The sequence below is a fragment of the Homo sapiens genome, chromosome 11, assembly GCF_000001405.40.
Source record: "Homo sapiens chromosome 11, GRCh38.p14 Primary Assembly".
Taxonomy (NCBI): Eukaryota; Metazoa; Chordata; class Mammalia; order Primates; family Hominidae; genus Homo; species Homo sapiens.
In genome coordinates, this window is record NC_000011.10 from 85,749,810 (window position 1) to 85,775,372 (window position 25,563).

Genomic DNA, 25,563 nt, shown 5'->3' on the forward strand with positions numbered 1-25,563 from the left:
GTTTGAGTTCAATTCCAGAATGGAGAAGTTCTTCTACTTCTCCCTGGTGAGTTCCTGGGGGCAGGGTCTGTACTCAATACATCTTTGTTTAGTGTCTGGAAAATACGGGGTATTTATTCAGATCTTGCAGAGTGGAGGAATATCAGATGAGGCTCCTGACCACCTAAAAAGGCTTCAGGTTACCTTTTCAGATTCATTTTTCCAGCACTCACGCCCATACCCCACTTGCCAGCAGGCTCAGCTTCTTACAATTCTCCAGTGCTCTTCTGTGACCTCTGTAGATGACAGAGGCAGGAAGTTGTGGCAGAAAGACTCTGGGTTTTCAAGGCTCCCCAAATTACATCCAAATCTCAGTTCTGACCCTTCCTAGATGGGATCTTGGACAGTTTACCAAACTCCTCTAAGCTTTAGTCTCCTTGTTTTTAAGGATCAGGGAAAATAAGACCTACCCTCCAGGACTTCTGAGATGATTGAGATGTTTAACTGAAAGTACTTAGTACTGCCTAGATCTTGGTACAAGGCCAGTTAATGTGAAGTCTCATGGGATGTCTTTCCCTCACTTCTCTGTCCAGCCCGTTGCTCCTCATCCTTCAAATCCAGCTCAAACACTGCCTCACTGGGAAGCTTTCCCTAACTCAGGAGGGCACAGTTATTACAGTTTCTCCTTTTCCATTGCTCCCACAGCACCTCCACTTCAGTCCTTACTATATCATATTCCAGTGATCTGTTTGCACATCTGTTGTACTCACTAACCTGTGGTCTTTGCAAACTCCTTGAAAGTGAGGACTATGTCTTAACCACCTTTGTAATGCCAGCACCTAGCACGGAGCCTGGAACAGAGCTGATACCCAATAACTGTCTGTTGAGTGAATAAATCAAAGAACAAATAAACGCTCAGCAGCCATCCTGAGTCAGGCAAGAGATCAAGAAGATCCTGTCACTGCTGTGATTAAGTGAACCTCAGACCCCATCACAATGAATGGTGTCTCCTCCTGATGCAGCAGGACATGCTCATCTCTCATCAGAACAGGAAAAAACATCATGAAATGTGGTGTCGGTCAGCATTCTTGTTGAAGGAGGCCACAAACCCTTATAGCAGAACAACACCCAATTTCTTTTCATAAGATTGTTTATTTTTGTTTTTCAACTAAAATGCACTTTGTGGGGATTCTTGTGCAACCCTTGATCTGTTCCTGCCTAAATGACTGTCTGTAAGCCCACGATCAATGCACAATGAGCACAGGTTTTGCATCGACTCCCTGAAACACATGGTCCCTACAAAGGCTGATAGCCATTATAGTAAGGAAAGGGTTTCTGGCTCACTTGTTTTAAAGTGGCAAAAGAACAGGAAATTCTTTCAAATGTAGTTAAGTGCCACTTACATATTTCCTTACATGACTATCACTACTAGGTTTAATAATCAACTTCTTTTTCTATCTTAGTCACTTGTACTATTTCGTAGATAAATCCATATGTATAACATCAAAGTTTTGTAAAGATGTAGATCATTTTTAGAATCCCACTATCTAGTGCTGCTGTTAAAATCTTCTCGTTTTCCAGCCCACGTTCATCTCTCATTTTTTTCTGAACTCTAATTACATCAACAAAATGAGCATTTGATTCTCTAATTATCGTACCATCTAGATGAAGAGAGAAAGGGGTAAGTTTCTTGGGACTGACATTTATCCTTTACCATCCTCTCCACACACACACGTTATGTTTAGCAGAGAGTTAAGTAGAGAGAAGACGCTCAGTAAACACCGGTGGGCTGGTGGGCAGAAGTGAGGGCTGAAGAAGAGCACTCAATCCAGAAAGTACACTGGCCTGCTGGCCTCCCAGGTGGGATGTCCTGGTCATTCTCTCGTTCATTCTCCCATTCCTTCAGCTAGCACACAGTATCTGCTTTGTGCTGAACCACACATCTGACACTTAACAAGCCTCTTATCATTTCATCCTTACAATTTCACCATGCTGTTCAAAGAATTTCATCCATTTCAAAAGATGGCCATTTTACCTCTTCTGTATGCTAAAAGCCATATCTAAACCCTGTCTGGCTATTTGTTCACTGACTCATTAATTCCCATACCAGCCATCTGCTTCAAATTGGACATTAAAAATTCTATCTACAGCCCTAACTGTCAATGTCAACTCCTTTTCATGCCAAGAGTGTGAGCACTTACAGAGGAAAGCCAGAAGAGCAGAAATGCCCTCTGGGCTGGATTCAACACATTTGCCCTCAGCCTACCCCTTTTCTCCTTGTGCTCACTTATGTACACCTCAGCTTCCAGCTACTCAACAGGACTAGGCAAAGCTCGAACATCACCTGCAGGACCTGGTTCATAGTATTTAGTCAACTGTGGACAGCTGCTGGCCAGATAGGTTGACTGGTCTATTCTCCAGCCTTTCTTTTTTCATCTTGCCCAGAATATACTGGGCAAGATGTTTAGACTGTGTGATTTGGAGGTGCTCTCAGATGTTTGTTTTGAATGTGAGAGCTGAAAGGTACCTTAGATAGTTACAAATGACCTCACTTTCTAGATAAAATGATAGAAGCCCAGAGAAGTTAAGAGGCTTGCCCAAGGTCACACAGAGCTGGCAGCAGAAGCCAGTCTGACTCCCAGCCAACACACTTTCTACTACCCGATCCTGCCTCAGAGAGCCAAACATGATTTCGGTTTCTAAGATGGCTGTCACACTTCACTCTTTCTCCTAAGGAACTCAATCTTTGATGAAGAATCTGAAAACCAACATGTGGAAAACAAACTACAAACCTTCCTTAGAGTAGAAAACAAGAAATATCCACCTTTTACATGACACATCGTAGATCTCTGCAGTCTGCTGAGAGGCAGCACAGTGTAAGGGAAGTGCACAGGCCTTGATGTTGGATCAACAAGGCTTCAATCCTGCGGGGCACTTACCCTCTTCAACCCTATCTCCTCATCTGTTAAGTGGATTCAGCTACACTGTTTTGAAGATGAAATAGGAAAATCTATGTGAAGATCCATGTACAGTCCCTTGACAAATGTTAGTTCCTTTCCCCTTTGCTTTGACAGAAAAACACCATGAGAGGTCCTGGAAATTAGTCCTTCAATGACAACTGCCTTCATTAAAAAAAAAAAAAAAAAAAAAAAAAAAAAAAAAACACAACTAGGTCTAAGGAGGCAGCTGAGAATCATAAGATGTGGTGGCGGTTGAGATCGTATCTACTGCAAAAACACCCATCGCTGTAGATGTGGTTGTGTGTATATGGGGGTGGGGGATGCAGTGCTGGTGGTGGTGTACAGACAGACATGAGCAGCAATTTCCTGCTGGCAGTGTGACGCAAAGCACAGGAAATGCCACCTTTTGAGTATGTGATTTTCAAACCATAAAAGACTAAAATTACATATGTGTATGTATGGTTATGTTTCCTTAAAGGTGGGTCAGGGCAGCAGGAGAGAAGACACAGGATAGGGGTGGAAGAGAGAGAAAGAATCCACCCTGATGTCTCCTTCACTGCTGGTCTGTGAAATGTCTCCACATGGGAGTTAGGGAAGCAGGCTGTGTAGCGATACATGGTAATAACTGGGTCCAGTACTTGTGGCTACAGGTAGTGGAGCAACATAAAAGACAGTGTGGTAGCAACAGTGATCTGGAACCGTTATTGTCTCAGCTGTACCCCAGAGACACCCCAGTGACTATTTCCTTGGGTACGAGTCCATGTTCTACCATTAACAGACCAAGTGATTTAGGAACTGGATATGTCTCTGTGCAACACTCACTTTTCCTATCCATGAAATCAAGATGGGAAGTAACAAAACCTTTTTTTTTAATTAGCTGGATGTGGTAGTACACACATGTGGTTTTAGCTACTTGGGAGACAGGAGGATCACTTGAGCCCAGGAGTTGGAGGCTGCACTGAGCTATGATTGCCTCACTGCACTCCAGCCTGGGTCACAGAGAGAAACTCTCTTTTTTAAAAAAAAAAAAAAAAAAAAAAAGATGGGAAGTGACATATAAACTAAATCATCTCCAAAGTATCTTGAATGAGCTTGGCTGTGAACAAGTCAAAGCACTGGACATATTAGGAATGGCAACATTTCCATTTGAATGCCAGATCTCATCTACCGCCATACTGAAAAAGATTCTAAAGTGATATCTGGTCTTGCAGGCAACAGTGGTGTATCCATTAGTGATGTCCTCTTGGCTACGGGAGAGTTATACTCCAAAGTCTATAAAACATTAGTATTTAAAAGAAAAGTCTGAATTTTAGTAATAAATTGGCCTTTCTAATGATGTTTTGATTGGGCTGATATAATTATATAATGTGTTTCTAAGCCAAATAACACCTAGGAGGAATGAGGCATTGTAAAGTCATGTTAGGGAAACAAAATTGAGATTTTAAATTTGCAACTGATAATCCATTAAATGGATAAAGGTCATTAGATAGTAAATTCCTTGAGAGCTGGGGCCATGTTTTCAATCACCCTGGAATTCTCTTCATATCATTGTCCAGAGCAGTTCCTTGTACTTAATAGGTGCTCAATTAACTTCTACTACATTAAATAATTAAGAGTTTTAGGAGTAATTTCCTTCTAAGGAATCAGTCTACTAACTAGAATCTCCTGCCCCTTTTTGGAGGTATAGGTAGAGTGGTGAATAAAGGAATTAAAATGAACTATCACATATTATGTGCCAGGAAGATTAAAAATTATTTTTAATTTAATTGACAAATAATAATTTTGTATATTCATGAGGAAACAGTGATGTTTTGATATACATAACATATAGTCATCAGGTCACTGTAATTTTGTATCCTTTATCAAATCTCTCGCTATCTCTTGCTTCCTAAAAATTATTTTACTTAATCCTGACATTAATCTTTTGAATTTAAATGTAGTATTATGATCATGCCCACTCTGAGTTGAGGCTCAGAGAGGTTAAATAACTTGCCCAGTGAAACACAGTTCATTAGTGGTAGGAATGAGATGCAAACGCATGTCAGTTTCATCTCCGGTTCCAAGCAGCAGAGTTTTTTGTGTCATGATCAAACCCTTACTGTTCCTTTCTGAAAGAATAACAACGATGAGCAGAATAGAGCAGAGGGAAAAGCACCGGCCCAAGAGATTTCTCATCATGGCTTTGGCACTGACTTAATGTGTGGCCCTGGGCAAGTCATTTACCCTTTCTGGGCTTTATCTTTTTTTCTGTAAAATGACTGATATGGAACAACAACAAAAAAAAATTTCATAGTTATTAGGCTATAACTCTGGTAGAAGAGGCAAAGACAAACAGCAATGGAATGGAAAAGGCGCTGACAAACAAAAGCCCATGGAGTAACATTTTCAGAGATCCAGTTCTGGTTCCACCATCCGAGGAGCAGAACAACCTCCAAACTATCCCCACAAGTCCCTTCAGGCCTAAAGCAAAGAGGGGGTCAGGCTATGAGTTGAGCCTTTTTCAGGGTCCACAAGCCATAGGTCTGCCATCTATCTGTGCACTGTCACTGCTCCCTAGCTCCAGGGTCCTGAAACTGTCCATGGCCAAGTCCACATGAGGTACATGGTGCCTAACTAGAAAGTCTCTTGGGAAAATGATGGTAGGTAGGGCTTGACTCACACCAGGCTTTTCACCAATCCAAGCCTTCTTCCTGCCATTTAGTCACAAAAGCAAAACACAAAGGCAGCACCAGTCGCAGCTGCTGGGGCACCTTCAGAAACAACAGACAGAAGGAGTGTCTGCAACACCAACACTAGGAAGGGACTCACACCATTTTCGCTGAAGTTGTAGATTGGCTGATGCCAGAGGGTACACACTCACACCCCTTATAAGGCCTAATTTCAGGCAGAACTTTGCATTTTTTGAGGATATTTTCATCAACCAATGCAAGTGCCCAAGAAACACCTTCACTCTATTCAGACAGAATCATAGAACTACAGACAAGACTCAGCAGCTTGGAATCCCAGGTGCCAAGAAAAGATAGAAGGGAGGGAGGAAATGAAAGGAGGCTTTCTCCTCGTAAGCTGACTATCTAGAGGGGCAGAATTGCAGACCATAAATAACACCTCCTGAGCAGAAGGAATCAAAGGTACTTGCACCTCTCCAAAATGCAGGGGCCCACATCCTGAGGTAGAAAGAGAGACTCAGTGCAGTCCCAGCTCTACTGCTTTCTAAGTCCTTCCCCCAATCTTTTCTTTTGGGAGGGTAAAGGAAATACCATTTCCCCTTATGCTTAAAGAATCAATATTTTCTCTATGCTCCCCCACCTCCTGCCCTTACTCCTCAATGGTTGCAATAGTCCCTGCTTTGCCAAATGTCAGGGTTGCTGTGAAGAACATAAGAGGATAACATTCATAAAAGGGCTTTATAAACTGTCAATGGGTAGAGGATTAATGCTACCAAGAGGCTCTAATGCCTGGGTTAGTGACAATCCTTCACCTCTCCTGGGGACACTGTTTAAGGCACACCATTTGCGGAGAAGGCACAGCAGAGCCCCATCCAGGTGTGCATTGCAAGGGACCTTTGAGGAACAGCATGATCCCCACTACCTACAGCCACTGCTTGTCATCATAGCTCAGTGTCCTACTTCACACCATGACAGCCAGCCCCTTCCTCCATTGCCAGGTCCTGGGATGGCCTGTCTGTTATTGTTTTCTCAGGGAGAGGAGGTGGAGTTAACAAATGAGTACCTAAGACTGGGATTTGATTCTCACTTCTGACACCTACCAGTTGTGTGATATTGGGCGAGTCACCTGACTTGTCTCAAAGTCAACTTCCTGACACATCAAATGGGGTAATTATATCCCACTCCACCCACCAACCGCAAAAGAGTATGTGAGCTCATAAAAAATAATGGGCATGTTAAGCCCTTTGCAACTTGTTAAATACTGTCTATATAGAAGTTATTTTAGTAGTCATAATCAGACATTCTGTAGTGGTTGAAGTGAATTCTAGCATGTTCTTTTATAAATCATCCACGTTAAATCAGTGTCAAGATACGGAAATGGTAAAAATAAAGCCATTATTCATGGTCCTGTGTCCCAGGAAGTAAGAACATATCTTATGCTCCTTTTGGATAACTCCTGGAGCGAGAATCATAAAATTAATAATACTAACTTACATTCAGGAAGCCTGTCGCTGCCTTCAAAGCCCAAGATTACACAGGCAGTAAATGGCAGGGCCTGGACAAAGTCAAGTTCTTCAGCATCCTGGCCTAGTGCTTGTTTGACAACAAAGGTGAATGAAAGTGGCAGGAATGTTGACATGGAACATTTGGGTTCCACCCAACAAGAATAGTGTATCAAAGTTGCCACTCCTCTTTATGGGACCCAAGACAAATGAAAAATTGGCTCAGAGAATACTTTCAGTTGCCATTAAAACCAATTCCAACATTTCTGAAAGCATGCAGAAATGTGAGCTAGTTTAATTTATTTTCTTTTCAAAATTCTAAAAATTTTTTAAAATTCTAATTTGGTTCATGATTCAGTTAAAAAAAAGTAGATCCAGTTTTTTTAAGTGGATAGAAATACACACACACACACAAATGTAGATGTATGTGGTTGTATACATTTCATTTTTATCTCAGTATTTAATAAGTTAAAGGAATTTAGTTAGGTTTTTAATCAAGACCCTATTTCTGGTAGGAGTCCAGTAGGATAAATTAAGAGGCACCAAGAGGAAAAATGTTTTGTCCAGGAAGTAAACCTAAAATTGGAATCCATAAATTCAGTCTTCGAGTCAGAACTACCACTTATAGTTGAAAAAAACCCCAGTGTCCTATTTTCGTACAGACTGCCTCTTCCTTCCCTCATGCCCAAGGCTTCTCTGGCCTCTTACCTGACTCTCTCTTCTTCGGCCCTCTTCAGAGCAGCATCCCGCTGCAAAACCTTCATGATGGCCTCTTGTTCCTCTTCAGTCAGGAAGCTTAAGTCAATCATTTTGAAAAGTGCATGCAAAAATAATAGCAACAAATGTGGCTCAAAATTCTCAGGGCTGAACAACTAAGACTGCAACCAGGAAGATTAAAACACACAAAAATGAAATATCTTGTTCAGTTCTGCATCAAAGTCTTATTTTGGCTCAGCAAAAGTTTAGGGCAGCTGATAGCAAGATCCTAAGTGCTCTTTCCCATGAGGAAGTCCTGGTCTGTGGGATAGTGTCGAGAAGAGGCTCTCAGAAGGATGCTGTATTCCTTGCCAAACAGGTCGCTTGTTCCTATGGTGGCTTCCAGCACACTCACTCTCTGGTCCAGTCTTAGACACAGTTTATTCTCTCTCTGCACCTGTCGTCAATTCATAAGAGGCAGCAGCATCAGAGCATCACCTACCTGGGGAATCATGAGACAGCAAACACCAGACAGTGAGAGGCAGTTCCTATAAGCACTACTCATTACTACAAGATTTTTAAATGGCCATGCGAGATGGTCTCTGAGATCAAGGAAACCAGTTCAGCCAGCTTCCTGAGCAAATGGTAAATGGGTCATGAAACATGCTTCAACCCTATTCCAGACGGCCAAGATGGAGAACCCACAAAAATGCCTGTCAGTGTTTAACGATCCACCTGAGTAAAGGATGGTTGCAAAAATGAACTGGTTCTCTCTCTGCAAACTCTGGGGATGCTAGGCTAAAAAGTCATGTTAAAGGTCAGTAAGATCAGGGATATGTGATTCCAGTGGTCAAGCAAGAATCTAGAAATAAAAATTTTAAATGCTCACCTCTTCACAAGTAAGAATATTCCACTGTACTATATATGTGCTCCATATTAACAGGAGAACTAGTATTAGATAGAGATAGTTTGCAGAAGAGTGAGAATTGTTATTCTTCATCCAGTCTCACTGCTAACCTTTGCTGGACCTAGAGGAACCTAACAAGCTTGTCTACTTTCATTTCTCAGGGGAAAAACACCTACCTGTGTGTGTATATAAACTGGAGGAAAGGAAGAGGCAGAGTTTCAAAACACCTCACCATCCAAAGTGAGGATTTTTCAGTTGCACAATGTGCAAGAATCCTATTTTCTTTGAGGCATCTTCAATACATATGTAATGGGAAGGAAGTGAGAAGTGAAGAATGACACAGCCCTACAGAAATTCGGAGGTGATCCACTCAAGGTTGGGGCACTTTTAACAAGTGCAGTGCTGAACATACACACTAAAAACCTTTAGTAAATTTTAAAGCAGGCTGGGTGCAGTGGTTCATGCCTGTAATCCTAGCACTTTGGGAGGCCAAGGTGGGTGGATCACCTGAGGTCAGGAGTTCGAGACCAGCCTGACCAACATGGTGAAACCCCGTCTCTACTAAAAAATACAAAAATTAGCTGGGTGTGGTGACACACGCCTGTAATCCCAGCTACTCAGGAGGCTGAGGCAGGAGAATCTCTTGAACCCGGGAGGCGGAGGTTGCAGTGAGCCGGGATCACACCACTGCACTCCAGCCTGGGTGACAGAGTGAGACTCCTTATCAAAAAAAAAAAAAAAGAAAGAAAAAAAAATTTTAAAGCAGCCCCACTTAAGAATAAAACAGTATGTACATTAGTGAATAAAATTTATAAAAATTAATTACTTGAAAAACAGAATTACTGGGAAGTTATCCTTCTACCACTTACTAGCTATAAGTCATTGGGCAAGTTACCGACCACTGTGAAGCTGTTTTCTCATTTGTGCTTGACATTAGGATGTCCCTCACAGATTGTAAGGATTAAATGAAATAATGAATATAAAAAGAGCACATGTCTTGCATTCTGTACCAAAAATAGCTACTAAAACTATATTCTAGCTTCCGCTCTGAGTTCACACTTTTTTTCCATCCAGCTGAATAAGACTATACTTAGTAATATATTTCTCTTTTGTATTATGTCTCTTTCTGATCTCCCCCCATGAAGTTTGGGCTTCATTGACAGGGAATCTAATGACCTTTGTTTTAATTTCCTCTAGCTCTCTGCATACTGTCCACAGTAATTACTCAAATAAATATTAAGACATTACTTCATTTTCTTTTTAATTTGCATGTGCTTGCATATGCTACTACCTGCTTGTTCATCTTGAAAACTACTTACCCTTCAAGACAAATCAAAGTTACCACCTCCATGAAGCCTTCCATAACTTCCATACCCCAAGTTAAAGTTGCAGCAGATTCAATGATTATTCCTAACTCTTCATTTCCTCCCTGTAACAGAACTATACTATCATGTTCCCACCAGAGTAAGCAAAGAATTCATCCCTATCCTCCTAATGTTGGGCTTGGCCTGTGACTCGCTTTGGCCAATGGAATGTTAGCAAATGTGATGCAAGCATAGGCTGTAAATGTGCTTTTGTGGTTTGATCTGGCTTCTTGTATTCCTGCCACATGCCATGAGAAGAGCTTGTCCCAGTTATTCATTGCCTCTTCATCCTGGGTTCCAGAAAGAGATAAAAGGACAGACCTGAACCTGACCTCCCTGAAGCAGGTATCCCTGCTGACCTATAGATATAAAAGAAAAAACTAAGTATTTGTTGTTGGAAGCCACTGAGGTTTGGGAGTTGTTATACGATACTCCCGCAGCAGGAACCTGCTAATACAAACACTTTCTCCTCCAAATACACATCCACTGCTGTGATGATCTACTCTCAGTCTCTCTTGATTGTGAGTCTCTGAATGTGAACAAATAAAAGAATGAGCAAATGAATAAATGAACCTGATTCAAATATACAATATCACCAAGAGATGGCTATCTCAATTATTTCCTTTCTTTCACGTGCAGTAACTTCCTTAGATCTCAAAAGCTGGCAAGAAAATAGATTTAGGCCACATTCTGGGACCCAGGTTCCCAATGAGGTCTTACACTGCCATTTGGTTGGTTCGATGTGAGACTTTAAATTCAAGGAGTGGTGGACAGGAAGAAAACAACAACAATGAAAAACTTAGGTCGTCTAGCAGTGGTAACTGGCAGGGTTGCTGAAATGGGCAACATTGGCTTCCACGCCTTCAAGCAGAATACAACCTAACAAGTGCTTCTGTGTCAAAGCTCTGAGGGTTAAAATTTCTCCCTTAAAATAGGCTGTTAGTGAGGCAAAGGGCAATGTTTCCACTTTACAAAGGAGTGAAGGGCTGGAACCCTTCCCTTTTAATTGGGTAGGTAGGAATCAGTGCCCAATCAAACTGTAAGAGAGCCCTCAGAGGGCAATCAAGATTCTGCAGTATGAGGTGCTCACCCAACTCCTAATATTCTGGATGATGTCCAGCATGGGAGCTAACTGAACATTTCCCTCACTCACTTGACAAAGATTTATTGAGAGACTGGCACTATTCTAAGCACTGGAGGTGCAGCAAGGGAACAAGACAGAAAAACTTCCTGCCTTTGTGGAGTTCATATGGCAATGGATGGAAACAATCAAACTAAATAATAAAAATAAGTTTTTGAATACCAAATAATTAAATTATAACACATTGGAAGGTGATGAGAACTATGGAGGAAAACAAAAAAGGGAAGGGAGGAGAATAATAACTCAGGGAGAGTAGGAATTTTAAAGAGAGTGGTTAGGGTAGGCCTCATTGAGAAGGTGATATTTGAACAAAAACGTGACAGCGATGAGGAAACAAGCCATGCAGATATCCCAGGGTTCTGAGGTGGGAGTTGTCTGGCACATTCAAGAAATGGCAAGGTGACCAGTGCTGGTACACCAGAATGCCCCCAGGAGAGCAGGAGGAGAGGAGGCCGGAAAGGACACGGGTAAGACTGTATTAGGCCTTGTGAGGACAGTAAGACTTCTGGCTTTTACTCTGAGATGAAGCAGCATTAAAGAAAGCCAGACAAAAAGGCAGCAAACATTTACTTGGTCCCTTCTACACATGTGGCGCTGTACATACCTCTCATGGAATCCTCACAAAGACACTCTGAGGTAGGTCTTATGTATTGAGACAGGGTCTCACTCCATTGCCCAGGCTGTAGTACAGTGACACAATCTCGGCTCACTGCAACTTCCACCTCCTGGGTTTAAGCAATTCTCATGCCTCAGCCTTCCAAGTAGCTGGGATTACAGGCGCCCACGACCATGCCCAGCTAATTTTTGTATTTTTGGTAGAGTTGCAGCTTTGCCACGTTGTACAGGCTGGTCTTGAACTCCTGGCTTCAAGTGATCTGCCGGCCTCGGCCTCCCAAAGTATTGGGATTACAGGCATGAGCCACCACACCCAGCCCAAGGTAGGTCTTATTATCTGTGTTTTTCACATGAGGAGAGTGAGGCTGAGGGGGGCATTTGCCACCAAGCTTATGTCTGACTGGCATTTGCTGATGGTTGTGTCAGAATAAGCCAACCCAACATTGACATTTCATTTAATTCTTCTCTTCACACAGATTCCTCCAATCAGCGAGGCAGAACAAAACCCCTGTCTCTGTGGACCCTCATTCTCTGCTTAAGTATAAGAGACTCACCGACCCAGACCCGGCAGTCAGAACGGGGGCAACCTCAGTGCTAAACTGTGAGGGAAGAATTTTGGCTACTACAGTGTCTTGCATTCTCACCAGAGCCTCACAATAACCTCAGTAAAGAAGGGAGGGTAGGAGTGAATATACCCATTGTTCACAGATATTATTGATGTGTTCACAGGAGGAACTCCTGGGGCAAGTTCTCCTTGGGTTCAGCCTCTCCTACCCATCCTCCATTCAGCATGATGCTGAGTCATTTTTCTAAAACTCAGTTCTGACCAAGACACATTCTCAGGCTTAAAATCCTTCACCAACTTCCCACTGACCATTGACTAAAACTCAAAATCCTTAAGCGGCCTGTAGGACTCTCCATGAACTAGCACCTGCTTTACTCTCCAAGCTCTTTTCCTTAGGCTCCAGCCATTCTGAAATTTTCCAGTTCTTCTTGCCTTCAGGCTTTTGCATGTGCTGTTCCTTCGTCCTGGAACAGCATTTCCCTGGTTAATACTTGTTAGGTCTCAAGTTACATGTCACTTACTGCACAAAAGTCTTCCCTAACCCCTCCAAGCCAGCTTAGGTGCCCCTCCTATGTGCTCAATTAGCACCTGACTTCATCAGTCACAGTACTCATCACACGGTCTCAAATCCCTACTTACTCATGTTTGTCTCTTGCCAGTTTATGAACAAGGCTTGTGTCTCCCAGTGATTTGTATTCCCAGCTCTTGCCACTGTCTTGCATCTACTAGGCACTCAAGTGTTCATGAAAAAAAAAAATGATGAACACAGGTGGAAGGGGATTGAGCTTCTATTTCCCCCTGAACATGAACATAGCTCTAGGGCCCATAAATGAAAAACTAGGTCAATATTATTCAATGGGTTCCAGCTCCAGATCTTTCACATCATTCTGTGGTTTGAATAAGTTGAATGACTTCTCTAAGTCTTGGTTATCTCATGCATATGATGGGTATATTCTCTTCCTTGTGGAGATTACTGTGAGGCTCTGGTGAGAATTCAGGACACCGCAGAGGACAAAGAAGGATAAGGAGCAGCGGTAGAAATAGCAGCACAAAGGGAAATTGGAGGACTCCAAATGTGGACTCTGCTTAATTCATATTTTCCATGTGTCAGCCCTACCATGCCACATCTATGAATACTAATACTCTTCTTGTCAATTGTCCAAAAGTTAAGCTAGAGAGAAAAACTAAGGCCCCACATAGTTGGTGCTTGCCTTTGATAGGCAGCAAAGAGTGGATCTGGGCTTCTAACTCTAATTCCAATTAAAATTCTAATCCCAGGTTAAAGTCTAATTAACAACCAAATTTCCTTCCCAGCAGGCTCTGCTGTGAGGAGGGGCCCAGATAACACAGATAGCATCTTCTGCTTTCCCAGACAGTATTGTTGTACCAAAGGCAAGGAGTGTAAAACTTACATAAATGGTGACTCTCACATGATGAGGATTTCAGAAGACAGGCAAATTGTCCTGACAGTCCCATGACATCAAGAATGAAGGCTTCAAAAAAAAAAAAAATCCAGGCAGCAACAGAAGAGCAGTAATATGCCTGAGTTGGGGAGAATGCCGCCAGACAAAAAGGCCCTGATCAACAAGAAGGCTCATCCCCACCGGAACACTTACGAAACCATTGTGCATAAAACTAAATGCTTTGTAAACTTCCTAGGATCACAGCAGCATCAAAGGATGGAAGGAAGGAGAAGCCAAAGACGGAACAAGTTGAATGTGACAATCAGAGACTCTTTGCTCACCTCCCTCTCAGCAGAAAGATTTCCCTCCAGTGTACCAGCCCGATGATCATCAGATCACACTGCCAGGGCATCCATGCCTAAAGCTGCTAACTGCACAGCTGGGCTGCTCCGCTTCTCAGGCTCACTTGGTTGGACTTGCCCCTAAGTTCTTCACATTGGCTACATTTTACCCTGCCCACTTGAACCCCATTTAATTTATTCTCCCTTGCACATAATAGTTTACAAAAAAGATGTCATGCTCTCCCCACCTCTTCTTAGTTGAGGGGATAAAAAACTTTGTTGTTCCCTCAACTGTTCCTCACATGTTGTTCTCTAAGCCTCTCATGATCTTGGTCATTTCCCTCCAGACTGAAAAAATGCGCAGGCGGTGCTAAGCCCTTTACACATATTTTAGTTTAACCACTCTGACCACCATGCAGATAGGTATTCTCCACATCCCATGGAAGAGAACACTGGCGCTCAAGTTAAATAACTTGCCTAAGGCTACTCAACCAGGATATGATTTGAACCCAAGTCTTCAGATTCTGAAGCCACTATTTTTCATCTTTCACTGCATCACTAATCCCCTACTTCTCAGAGAGATCACACAGCTGGTTAGGGGCAAAGATGACACTAGAACCCAAGTTTCCTGATTCCTAGACTGTTCTCTTTTCACCCTGCTGTTTCTCCCTCTGTACATTTGACTTTGTCATTTCTTATGGGCAACATGCATCAGCCCTCAAGGCATGGCATGCTCTTCTAAGGACAACTTGTTAGGAATTAGAAAATGATCAGTCCCTTTGGATTTGGTTTATGGATAGACATGGAAAAGAGGATATGCATGAGATAGAGGGGAAAAAAGGCATCTGTGTCAACATGCACCTATTTATATATGCCTACTAGCCTCTTAGAATGGTATCAATCCCTCGAACCAGAAACTATTACTGAAAGAACCTACATTTTATATGCTTAGGCTCAATCAAAATGTTTTGTAATATGCGTACACAGAAATGTGTTTATACGAAAAGCAAACTTTGTCCACGCACAGGTGGGTAACAATGCTACATGAATATTTTGTTTCTGTGTGGTCAGAGTCTTCAGTGTTCTATTTTTAAAAAACACATAAATTACTCAATGTAGTGGGTGGCTTAAGTTGGGCTTCTTGAGAGGAAAGAATTGTCTTGTGACTGGTTCAAGGTAGCCTCTTAAAAAATAATAGTTGAATGAACAAATAAAATGAACTTCTTTATAAAGAGGTGAACAAATGAAAGGATATAGATAGAATAAGAAAGGATAAGCTATCCAACAATAGGTTGCCTTTTTTTTTGAGACAGAGTCTCGCCCTGTCACCCACGCTGGAGTGCAAGGGCGTGATCTCCGCTCACTGCAACCGCCGCCTCCCAGGTTCAAATGATTCTCCTGCCTCAGCCTCCTGAGTAGCTGGGATTATAGGCACCTGCCACCATGCCAAGCTAATTTTTGTGTGTTTAGTAGAGACGGGGTTTCACCATGTTGCCCAGGCTGGTCTCAAACTCCTGACCTCGTGATCTGCCCACCTTGTCCTCCCAAAGTGCTGGGATTGCAGGCGTGAGCCACCGCGCCTGGCAGTTGCCATTTTTTATAGAGCCAACTGAAAATTAAAAATGGACAGCATCTCAAAATACAAAGCTTTCACTTTTGTAAGGATTCTTCCAAAGATGGAAGCCATCTTTCTACTTCATTCATCTCCTCCAGGTCCAGGCTGAGTAGCAGACAGCTAGTATCTTCTGGAAACTGGCTTGGTGGTCTCAAATTATGAATGAAGAGGGAAAGACAGGTAGAAAGACTACCTTATCTGACAATTCCCCCTACTCCTTAATCTCATATTCACACCTAACAATAACATCCCTGGGTTTCTGAAAAGCTCATTTTCTGCAATTGCTAGGCCACAGGTTTAAACTTACAATACCCCTAGGAATAAAATATGTTAACCAAGCCCCAACCAAGCGCAAGATAATGGGCTATGTGAGGAGACAGCATCACACATGACCAACCATAATACAAGTATGTCAGCTACTAATAAAGGAGGCACACACCAAGTGTCAGGTAGGCCACAGAGATTTAGGAAGGAGATAAAATGAGGTGAGCCTTGAAGGCTGTATTAGAGAAGGAGGTAGGCATTCTGGGCAAGAGCGCTGGACCCTGAAACCATAAAGGTATTCAAAAAGAAGGCTGGTAACGGGAGTACAGGGTGTAAATGGGGCAAGTGACCAAGGTTGGACCCCAAGAGGCCTAAAGTGTCAAGGGGGGGAGTTTGAACCTGAATTTTTCATGCTTGCCAGTCTTGATAAATGTGCTAGAACCATCCTTTTAATCTATATTTTCTTGATCAGCATTCTAAGAAAGAAAAACAGTAAAGAAAGAAAAGATCTGAGGAAATGGGCAGCTGAAAGTTCATTTTAAACTTCATACCTGAGCTGAAAATTCAAATCATATGTAGAAGAGAGACGGCAGTCTACAAAAGGGGTGACTTATCTTTGACAACATATCACGAAGGACTTTAAGCCACATAGAACAGAGTTCTGATATTGCATGAAGCTGCTGCAAAAGCCACCATATCCATGGGCTTTTATTAACTACACAGCTTGGGAAGCACCAAGAGGCTTGCCTAAGTTCAAAATACCAGAGAGAAACTTCCTCTCTCCTTGGAATGGCAGCATCCACCGCAGGCCCAGATCTCATTCTGGAAGAGGGTAATTTGTATGCGCCAGAAGTTCTGATAATGTATGCCGTCCCCTGCCTCAGAGAGTTTAGATTCTGGAAAGGAGGGCAGATACTGAACAAGCCCAAGAAGTCTCACAGAGCAGAAAGGCAGTGGGCTATAAAACTTTTAACCAGAGGATTTAATGTACTCTTGGGGAGCCAGGGAAGGCTTCCTTGAAGAGAAGTACGATCTCTGTCAACAGCACACTCTACAGTGACATCTAAATTGGGAGTGCTATCACTTTCATTATATTCATGATTGCTTCAATAAACAGCAGTATTCAAATCTGGCTGATCAGCAGCAGATTCCCAGACATTGCTCAAGGCTTACTGAACCAAACTCTTCAAAGCTGATGTCCAGCAATCTGCATTTTCTAAAATGTTCCCACATGATGTGGATACACAGCAATTAGCAAAGTTAAACACGCATATTTGTATATCAATTGTTTTCAGCTGTTACAAGAGAAAACACATGAAACAAAGTAACAGTCAAATCAGAGAGTCATAACTAATTCTTTGCGTGGATGAGGAATCTGTGATGAAAAAGGGTTAGACCAATTGCTTAAGGTCACACAACTGCCTAACATTGGAGCTAGGACATGCAGAGAAGATCTCCTTTACCCTCTAGGACATACACAATTTCAACGTAAATAAGGATTTGCAAACTGGCTAATAAATGGTTTGGGCTGCATTTCACAGCACCCCTAAAAGCCAAACACTGATAACAGCCCAAATTACAGATGAATATCAGATTTAATTATTTTCTAGGTTTCAAATTCAAAGGAAGGGAGTGGAAGAACAAGCTGATTTATTAACTAGGCTGGAATTAAACTCAGGATCATAAAGTTAACTGAACTGTAGCCATCACCAGCCCAGACTTTAAAAGGACCACAGAAAAACTCAAAGTGAGAAAGCCTCACTTTTGGTACAATCACATACACTCCTAACCAGACTGGGAATGAGGGACTCTCCCCAAATGTACCAACTTGGGGGTTCCAAAAATTGGCTGTACATTAGCATCATCTGAAAAGATTTTTCTAAAAATACCAATGCCCAAGTCTCTTCATCCTCCCTCTCTCCCCCAACAATTCTGATTTAAATGGCCTGGGGTGAGACTCCCACCTAGGATATTTTTCAGAATGGTGCCTAGATGATTGTAATATGCAGCCAGAATTAAAACAATTTAACCGGTTCTCTCCCACTTCTAGCTTCTGCTCAAATCCAGGACCTATAGGTGAAGCAAGCAAGGCACCCAGAGCACAAAATACAAAGAGGCAAGGTCACGTGAGCTCAGCACTATGCACCTGCAGCACTCTGAGAATTAGTGTCTCCTTAAGAGCAAGACACCCAGGGCACATAGTTAGACACTCACTATCAGGGTACTACAAGTGAGCATCAGCACTTGCATGACCTTGTCTCCAAGGACTTTGTGCTCTAGGCACTTCACCTGCCTCAGCCTAGTCCCAGACCTGCTCAATTCCATCTGGTCAGGCCAAATTGCCCCACTAAAGATGCACTGAGCTCCTACTGTGTGCAAGATCTTCCTTGATCCTTACCATCCTCTAAAGAGACACTGATTTTGAAACTAATACAGGTAAATAATGTCTACTATATTCATTTTCTATACCCCCAATAGAAGAAGTGTTGTGATGTAGTAGAATGCACTTGTAGCTTTGGAGTCAAAAGATAATTGAAAGTGGATTAATCTATTAGTTCTTTGGCAGTTTCCCTAATGACTCTCGTTTGTTTCTTCATCTATTCAACATGGGCAGCAAAACAGATCTACCTTACAGGGTTACCATGAGGATGACATTATGCTGTAAGTAAAATGGCCTGGGACACAGTAAGTGCTCCATAAACACCTAATGACAATACATAAATCCCCAACATTTCACTAACTCAATCCCTTTCCATGCCATTATAAGGTTGGAGAACTACTTCTGCTACCTTTTCTATTTACCTCACTAGACTGTTTCCTATCCTCTAACCTCCTACACCATTTTAAGAATGAGTCAAATTCTTGGTTTCTGCAAGCACACACACTCCCACCCCCTGCTGCAGAGACCTTTGAGGAGGGTTTTTTAAATCTTCTAAATTTGAGATGGGGTATTGGTAGGAGAAAAGTTGGGTGAAAGGATCTCATTCTTCAAACACAAGAATTCTCCTAAATCTTTCCATCTTAGGCCTGGACCCCAATCTCAGAGAATCAAAAGCCAAGAGTTTGATATCTTGGTCTCTGGTTCTGCAGTAACAGCCCTCCTCTAGCTTCCTCCAGCAGTGGGCAGAAAGGCTTTGGTAACCTGTGTCTCCAGCATATAGCAGGCGCCTCATTTATTGAGTAAATGAAGAAGAGGAAAAAAAAGATCATTAAGAAAAAAAGCAAAACAATTCAATGGAATACAGAAAAGGCCAAAAAAGGGCTGTGCAAAAAAGTTTGATAAGTTATGTTCCATAAGTATGTTAATTCTATGGTAGGCAGAATAACAGTCCTCCAAAGATACCCACATCCTAATCCCTGGAACCTGAAGATATGCTGCCTTACATGGTAAAAGAAACTTTGTAGATATCATTGTTAAGAATCTTGTGGGGAGATTATCCTAGATTATCTAATGAGGCCCAATGTAATCACAAGGTCCTTATAAGAAGGAATTAGAATAGTCAGAAGGAGAGAGAGGAGATATGAGGCTGAAAATGTTGGAGTGATGTGTTTTGAAGATGGAGGAAGGGGCCATGAGCCAAGGAATGCAGGCAGCCTGTAGCAGCTGGAAAAGGCAAGGAAACAGATTCTCCCCTAGAGCCTCCTGAAGGAATTCAGCTCTGTTGATCTCTTGATTTTAGCCTGTAAGATCCATTTCAGACTTCTGACTTCTAGAATTATATAAGTTTGTGTTGTCTTAAGCCCCTAAGTTCATCACAGCAGTAATAGAAAATTAATACACAGTCTGAGGACACGATGTTACTTATTCATCTCTGAGTCCATCTGTGAGTTGTGCCAAACCCCTATTGACTCCAACAGGGATGGCACCCAGTTTAAGAGGCTGAAGAAGAGACCCAAAGCCTGCAAATGAAACATGGGGTTTTATCAGCGGCTTACATACAGGGAAGAGAGTCCAGTAGCGGTGGGCTGGACAGGAGAACCACCAGTCCAGTGGCAGCAGGCTGGACAGAATAACCGCACAGGCCCGTGGTGGTAGGCTGGGCAGGAGAACCACAACCACTTGCAAAAACACGCAGTTTATGTAGCATTTTCACTTGGCACCCTTCCCCTAACAACCTCCACCTGGCAACCATCATTTAACCCAAAACAAAGGGCCTCATTTCACAGGACAGCTGGGGGCTCAGATGTTCCTCATAGATAAGGAATAGATCTCCAGGTTGGCCACTCCCAGATTCATTAGCTCAGAACTCTGAACACACATTCTGGTAAATCTGCCACACAGTCATGCTCAGGGTGTGCTCAAGTCAAGTTATTGCTGTTGGATTCGTATTGCATCTGCTATACAAATCCCTAGCATGCTGCCTGGAACCTGTTAACTAAGTACATCCTCATAAGTAACTCTGAGGTGACACTATGGATGCTTTCCTCTCCTCATCCTAAAAACCAATCATTGCCAGACTGAACCTGTGCAATCTCCCTCCAGTACAACTCTTTCTCCCCTTGTCTACCACTCATGTAGGCGGATGTAATTTTCTCTGAACATGGCTTCATTCACTCCTGGTTCTCCCTCATTTCTGTCTACCATACACAATCCAGCTAGACTCATATCCAAAGCACCACTCTCATCATGCCATGCCTTGACTCGAAAACCTTCCCAAGCACTTCCCTGATGGCAGAGAAGTCCAAATTCCTTACTCCAGTATTGGCATCCTTCTCATTTCATTCCAAGTTCCCTATCCAATCTTCTTTCCTACAGGACCATTCCTACCCCTTGAACTACAGCCCATCCATTCCCCACATATCACCTGTACACTATCATCGCCAGACCATTGTTTATGCCATTCTCTCTACCTGGAATGTCTTTACCTTTTATCTGCACACATCCAACCCTTTCCTATCACTCAAGTCCCAGTGTAAATGACACCTCCTCCATGAAACTGCTCCTGCAGCCCATTTCCCCTCACAAATACCCCTACCACAAGCAGGCAACATTTTCTCTTTCACTGAGCCCAATAATACTTATCCGTACATCTCTCATCTGAAGTAGGAAAGAGCCCAGGCTCTAGAGTCAGATAGACCCGAATATAATGTGGCCCTATTATACAAGTTACTTAGCTTCCCTGAGCCTCGGGTTTCTCATCTGTAAAATGGGCATCATACCTATCTTACTGAGTTGTCAAGAAAATTAATGCTTATATATAGGTACCCAACACAGTAATTATTCAATAACTAACATTTTGTAACTTATAGATATATCAAATTCCCACTTCTAGACTCTTTGAGGGAAGGATTTTTGTCCATTTTTAGCCACACTGCACCTGATACATAGTAGTGGAAAAAAACATAAATAGTTACCAAAGTGTTGAGAGCATCTCTCGAGACTTCCTGACCGGTGTAGTCTAAGGATGGTTTCACCTTTAGACACTTCAGAGAGCAGGGGAGAAGCACACTGGATCTCTGCGATCATCAGTGTTCAATATAATTCTTAAAATGGAAACTTGGCAAGACTCCCTGTCTTTGGTTAATTAACGTAAATGAATGTAAACAACTATTCATCCCAACCAACAGTAATAAAGTAATAAATCAGTATTTCTTTCATTAGCATAAGTTACATACCGTTAGTTTAATGTCACTGAGTTCTAGCTCAGACAACTGTTGTTTCAGAGCTGGGGGGACAAAGCTCACGTTTATTCCATCCTGTTTAGAAACCCCATGCTGTGGATTCTCCTTCATTCCTTGGTTGTGTATGCAACAGAATTCCCTCGCTTTCAAGGCATTCCCTGAACCACTTTTACACTGTAGGAGAAACTGGCCCTTTTTCCGCAGTCTAGTTGGCAGTGTCATGAAGGAAAAAGAACGTAAGATTTAAAGTCACAAGATCTGGTTTGAAATCTGATTACCCACTTACTAGCTTGGTGACCACCAACAGCATTTGCTTGAGCCTTAGTTTGCTCATCTCTAAAATTGAGACTAACCACTGCCTACCCTCTTTGCTGAATCACCACAGGGAGCTGATGAGACCCTGCATGGAAAGACATTTTATAAAGTGCAAAATATTATATATAATTATAGTTATATATATATATATTTTTTGAGACAGGATCTTGCTCTATCACCCAGGCTAGAGTGCAGTGGCACAATCTCAGCTCACTGCAAACTCCGCCTCCTGGGCTTAAGCGATCCTCCCATCTCAGCCTCCTAAACAGCTAGGCCTACAGGCATATGACACAACGCCTGGCTAATTTTTTTATTTTTTGGTAGAGACAAGGTTTCGTCACACTGCCCAGGCTGGTCTCAAACTCCTGAGCTCGAGCCACTCGCCTTGGCCTCCCAAAGTGCTGGGATTACAGGCACGTGCCTGGCTGATCCATTCTCCTTCTAACATAGCATGATCTCTAAGCAGATACCCATAAATTTGGTTAAGAAGAAAGGTTCATAGTACAGTCTAGAAGAAATGAAGAATGCTTTTACTTCGCCTATCTTCATATATATAGTTCCTGAGACACAATAGGAAGTAGTATTCTACTTGTAGAAAACAAATAGCCACAAGCATGCTCCCATTGAATAAGTCTTAATGAATATCTGACTTGCTATCTATGAAGTCCTATAAGGTTGTATTACTAAATAAAAGGTGCTATTACATGGTAGTTACACCAGTCAGTCAGCACCAACTCTGCCCAGGCATTATGTCTCTGAATCTGCAAAATCCAGTCATCCTTCATGATAGCTGTCATATTCCAGAAGGACCTTCACTATGCGTATGAAGGCAGAATGACCAACCATATCTAAAACTCCATTTAACATTAGATATCAAAATGGGCAGCAACCAGCCCAGCCCCAGTTTTGTTTTCCCCAAACTCCAGTCCCCTTACTTATATCTCAGGCCAGCCTGAGCTCAGACTCAGTATAATGCCTCACAGAAGGATAAAAACCCTAATGAGCAAATTTCATAAAATATTCAGCTGGCCTTTTGGAGAAAAACAGCTGGAGCTAACCTTAGGAATTCCACTAATTCCCCCTACCACACAGCCTAAAAATAGCCAAAGAGCATTTCTTGCTAGTGATGGCCTTTCCTTTAAAGGAAATAATATGCAAAAGGCATGCTGGGGTCATTAGCCCAAACCATGCAGTCCCCATGATAAATCCTTGGCCAAATGTTCCTATGAGAATCTGCCTTCATAAGGTCAACACTGAAATTTCCTTGGGAAGGTTCCCTTCTCCCTACTTCCCACTGTATAAAAGACATAGGTTATCAGCCACTAATTCCCTGTATGGCCATGAGTGTTTCACTTTCCTTTCCTTTCCTTGGCCTCAGTTTCCACATCTGCAAAAACAAGAGGGCTCAGTTCTGACCTCTAAGGTCTTCTGCCATTGTAAGACTCCCTGGCAGGTACAGTCAATGGCTTCACTGCCTTCAGGATAAAATTCAAACCACTCAGCGTTACATTAGCCCCTCCAGATCTACACCCTGACTTCCTTTCCATTTCTCCCGACACAGTACCTTGAAGTTAGTTCTTTAAACTTACCTTTCACACCTCTGTCTTTGGAACATGCAGCTCCTTTTGCCTGCAAGGTCTTTCTCCAGCTTCTTAAACTCCTAGTCATCTTTCAAGACAGAGTCCAGGTGTCACCTCCTGTCGGAAGATGAGTCTAGCCCCTTCCTGATAAGTGGAGTTAGAGTCTCCTCCTCTTTGGTCTCACAGGACTCGGCATTATATAGCAACTGTCTGTTTCCTTATCCGTCTCCTTTATCAGCCTGAGCTCTCCTGGAAGAAGGAGATGCCATGTTCATCTCCTCTGTATTTCCAACACCTGACCTGTGCCCGCCACTCCATGTTTGGTGATATTGTTCCAAATTCCATCAAAGTACCACATTCATTTTATAGTGTTATTCCAAAAGACCAGAAATTTATTTTTTCAATAAATGTTTTCTCTATTCAAAAAAGAAAGTAAACTGTCTCTAAGCCTTTGCCTTATTAGGAAAAAATATATAGCTATTCAGATTTATAATGTAATCTTTGCAGAGCTGAAAAATATATATTAAATTTGTCCCTGAAAAACCTCTCTTTAAACCAACTAAACCATAGTTCTTAAAAAGGCAATTCAAAGTTAGAAATGATGTCCAGCTATGTGGTTTTTTCTTTTACCAAGAGGAAGGAAAATCTCTAAAAGGAATAAATTATACACTAAACTTTCTGAAAATCTCAAGCCCTGGAAATTCAGATGAAAGCCAGCAAGAAAGAATGTGATATTACACAGAAAACCAAAAAGCCTTGTTCACTACTAATAACATTAAAAGTTATGTGCATATATTATAGAAAATAAAAAACTAAATTAATGCAATTAATTGGTAGGACTTGAATTTTATTGAAGAATTAGAGAAGGAACTGACATTTAATCTTTCTCCAATACCTTTTTTAATCTTTACACACATTTTCTCTACACCATAAGGCAAACCAGCAAAGTAGGCACCATCACCCGCATTTTATCAATGAGGAAACTGAAGTTCATGGATCTTAAGGGACTTCATTAAATTCAAATTGCTTCCAAGTAACACAGTTGGGATTTGAACTCAGGTCTACCTAGCTCCAAAGTTCTGACATAACAGGAAGAGCAGCAGTAAAGGTGGAAGAAAAGGCCAGGTACACAGTGCCCTGCAAAGGAACCCCAAGAGGCAAACAGGAGCTGGGGTTTCCCTCAAACCCCTACACACCCCAAATACCGAGCTTTGCAAGATAGAATGTTGTTAAACTTGATGTGAAATGAGACCAGTTAAAAAGGAATTTTTATTTTTTACGTGATCCCAATTTAGAAGCTTATATAAATAAACTCAAAGTGTGGAGAGCAAGCAGGAAGTATGAGGTTATAGCATCAGCAAATCTATTTCTCCTATACCCTCATGAACAACAAAAATCCTTGCACTGATCTGGACAAGAGCTTTATAGTATTAATCAAACCTTAAACCCTTCCAAAGGCAGGCACAAATGATCATTAGTACTTCATTAATTAGGGTCAGCCTGTGCCCTGCCTAGAGCAGTTGAAGATCTGGGTTCTGGTCTTCGCTCTGCTACTGAAAACTGAAACTCTTTGTTTCACTCACCTCTCTGGGTGACTTCACCTGTAAAATGAGGCATTTGGACTCTGATCTCTCAGGTGCCTTCCTGTTTTTTTTTTTCTCATGGACATAAAATCAAATGACAAAATGAATGCCAACACCATCACCAAGCTAGCTTAGGGAGAAAGAGATGAATAGGCAGACTACTGGAGAAAAATGTCACCCTGCTGCCCAGTGCAAAGCCTTTTTAGAAACTAAACACTTTTCATAAGACATCACTACAGTGAAGGAGAGAATAATTAGGAAAATAGGGTATAAAACCTAACAAAAGTCTTTCTTTTCTTCTTTCTGTCCCTCCCTCCCTCCTTCCTGAATGACAGTATCCTCTGTTTGGGATTAAGCTAGGCACAATGGGTACAACTATTAAGTCCTAAGACCTGGTTCCTGTTGTGAAGAACATATTGGCCCACAGCAATAATAATAGCTCCCA

At 42.1% G+C, this 25,563-nt stretch overlaps 1 protein-coding gene across 57 annotated transcripts in view, besides 1 other annotated feature; it reads right to left on the reverse strand.

Annotated features, from left to right (window-relative positions):
* The window catches only part of SYTL2 (synaptotagmin like 2), a 160,642-nt gene that overhangs the window by 55,581 nt on the left and 79,498 nt on the right, over positions 1–25,563 (reverse strand). For 47 of the 57 annotated variants that reach the window (NM_001394468.1, NM_001394471.1, NM_001394462.1 and 44 more), the window contains one exon: positions 7,816–8,305. The exons of 7 other annotated variants lie outside the window; for them this stretch is intronic. In NM_001394468.1, the coding sequence (NP_001381397.1) occupies positions 7,816–7,916 (101 nt within the window). In that variant the 5' untranslated portion in view covers positions 7,917–8,305. Of the gene's footprint in view, positions 1–7,815; positions 8,306–23,544; positions 23,785–25,563 lie in introns of all 57 variants that reach the window. 3 more of the 57 variants (NM_001394459.1, NM_001394456.1, NM_001394457.1) reach the window with 2 other exon arrangements.
* Positions 11,527–12,726: an enhancer, noted in NCBI's record as "MED14-independent group 3 enhancer chr11:85472379-85473578 (GRCh37/hg19 assembly coordinates)". NCBI's record gives its function as "activates an origin of replication core promoter dependent on BRD2, BRD4, P300/CBP and CDK7 cofactors, and independent of MED14, by STARR-seq in HCT116 cells {active_cell/tissue: HCT116}" and the evidence as "EXISTENCE:reporter gene assay evidence [ECO:0000049][PMID:35650434]".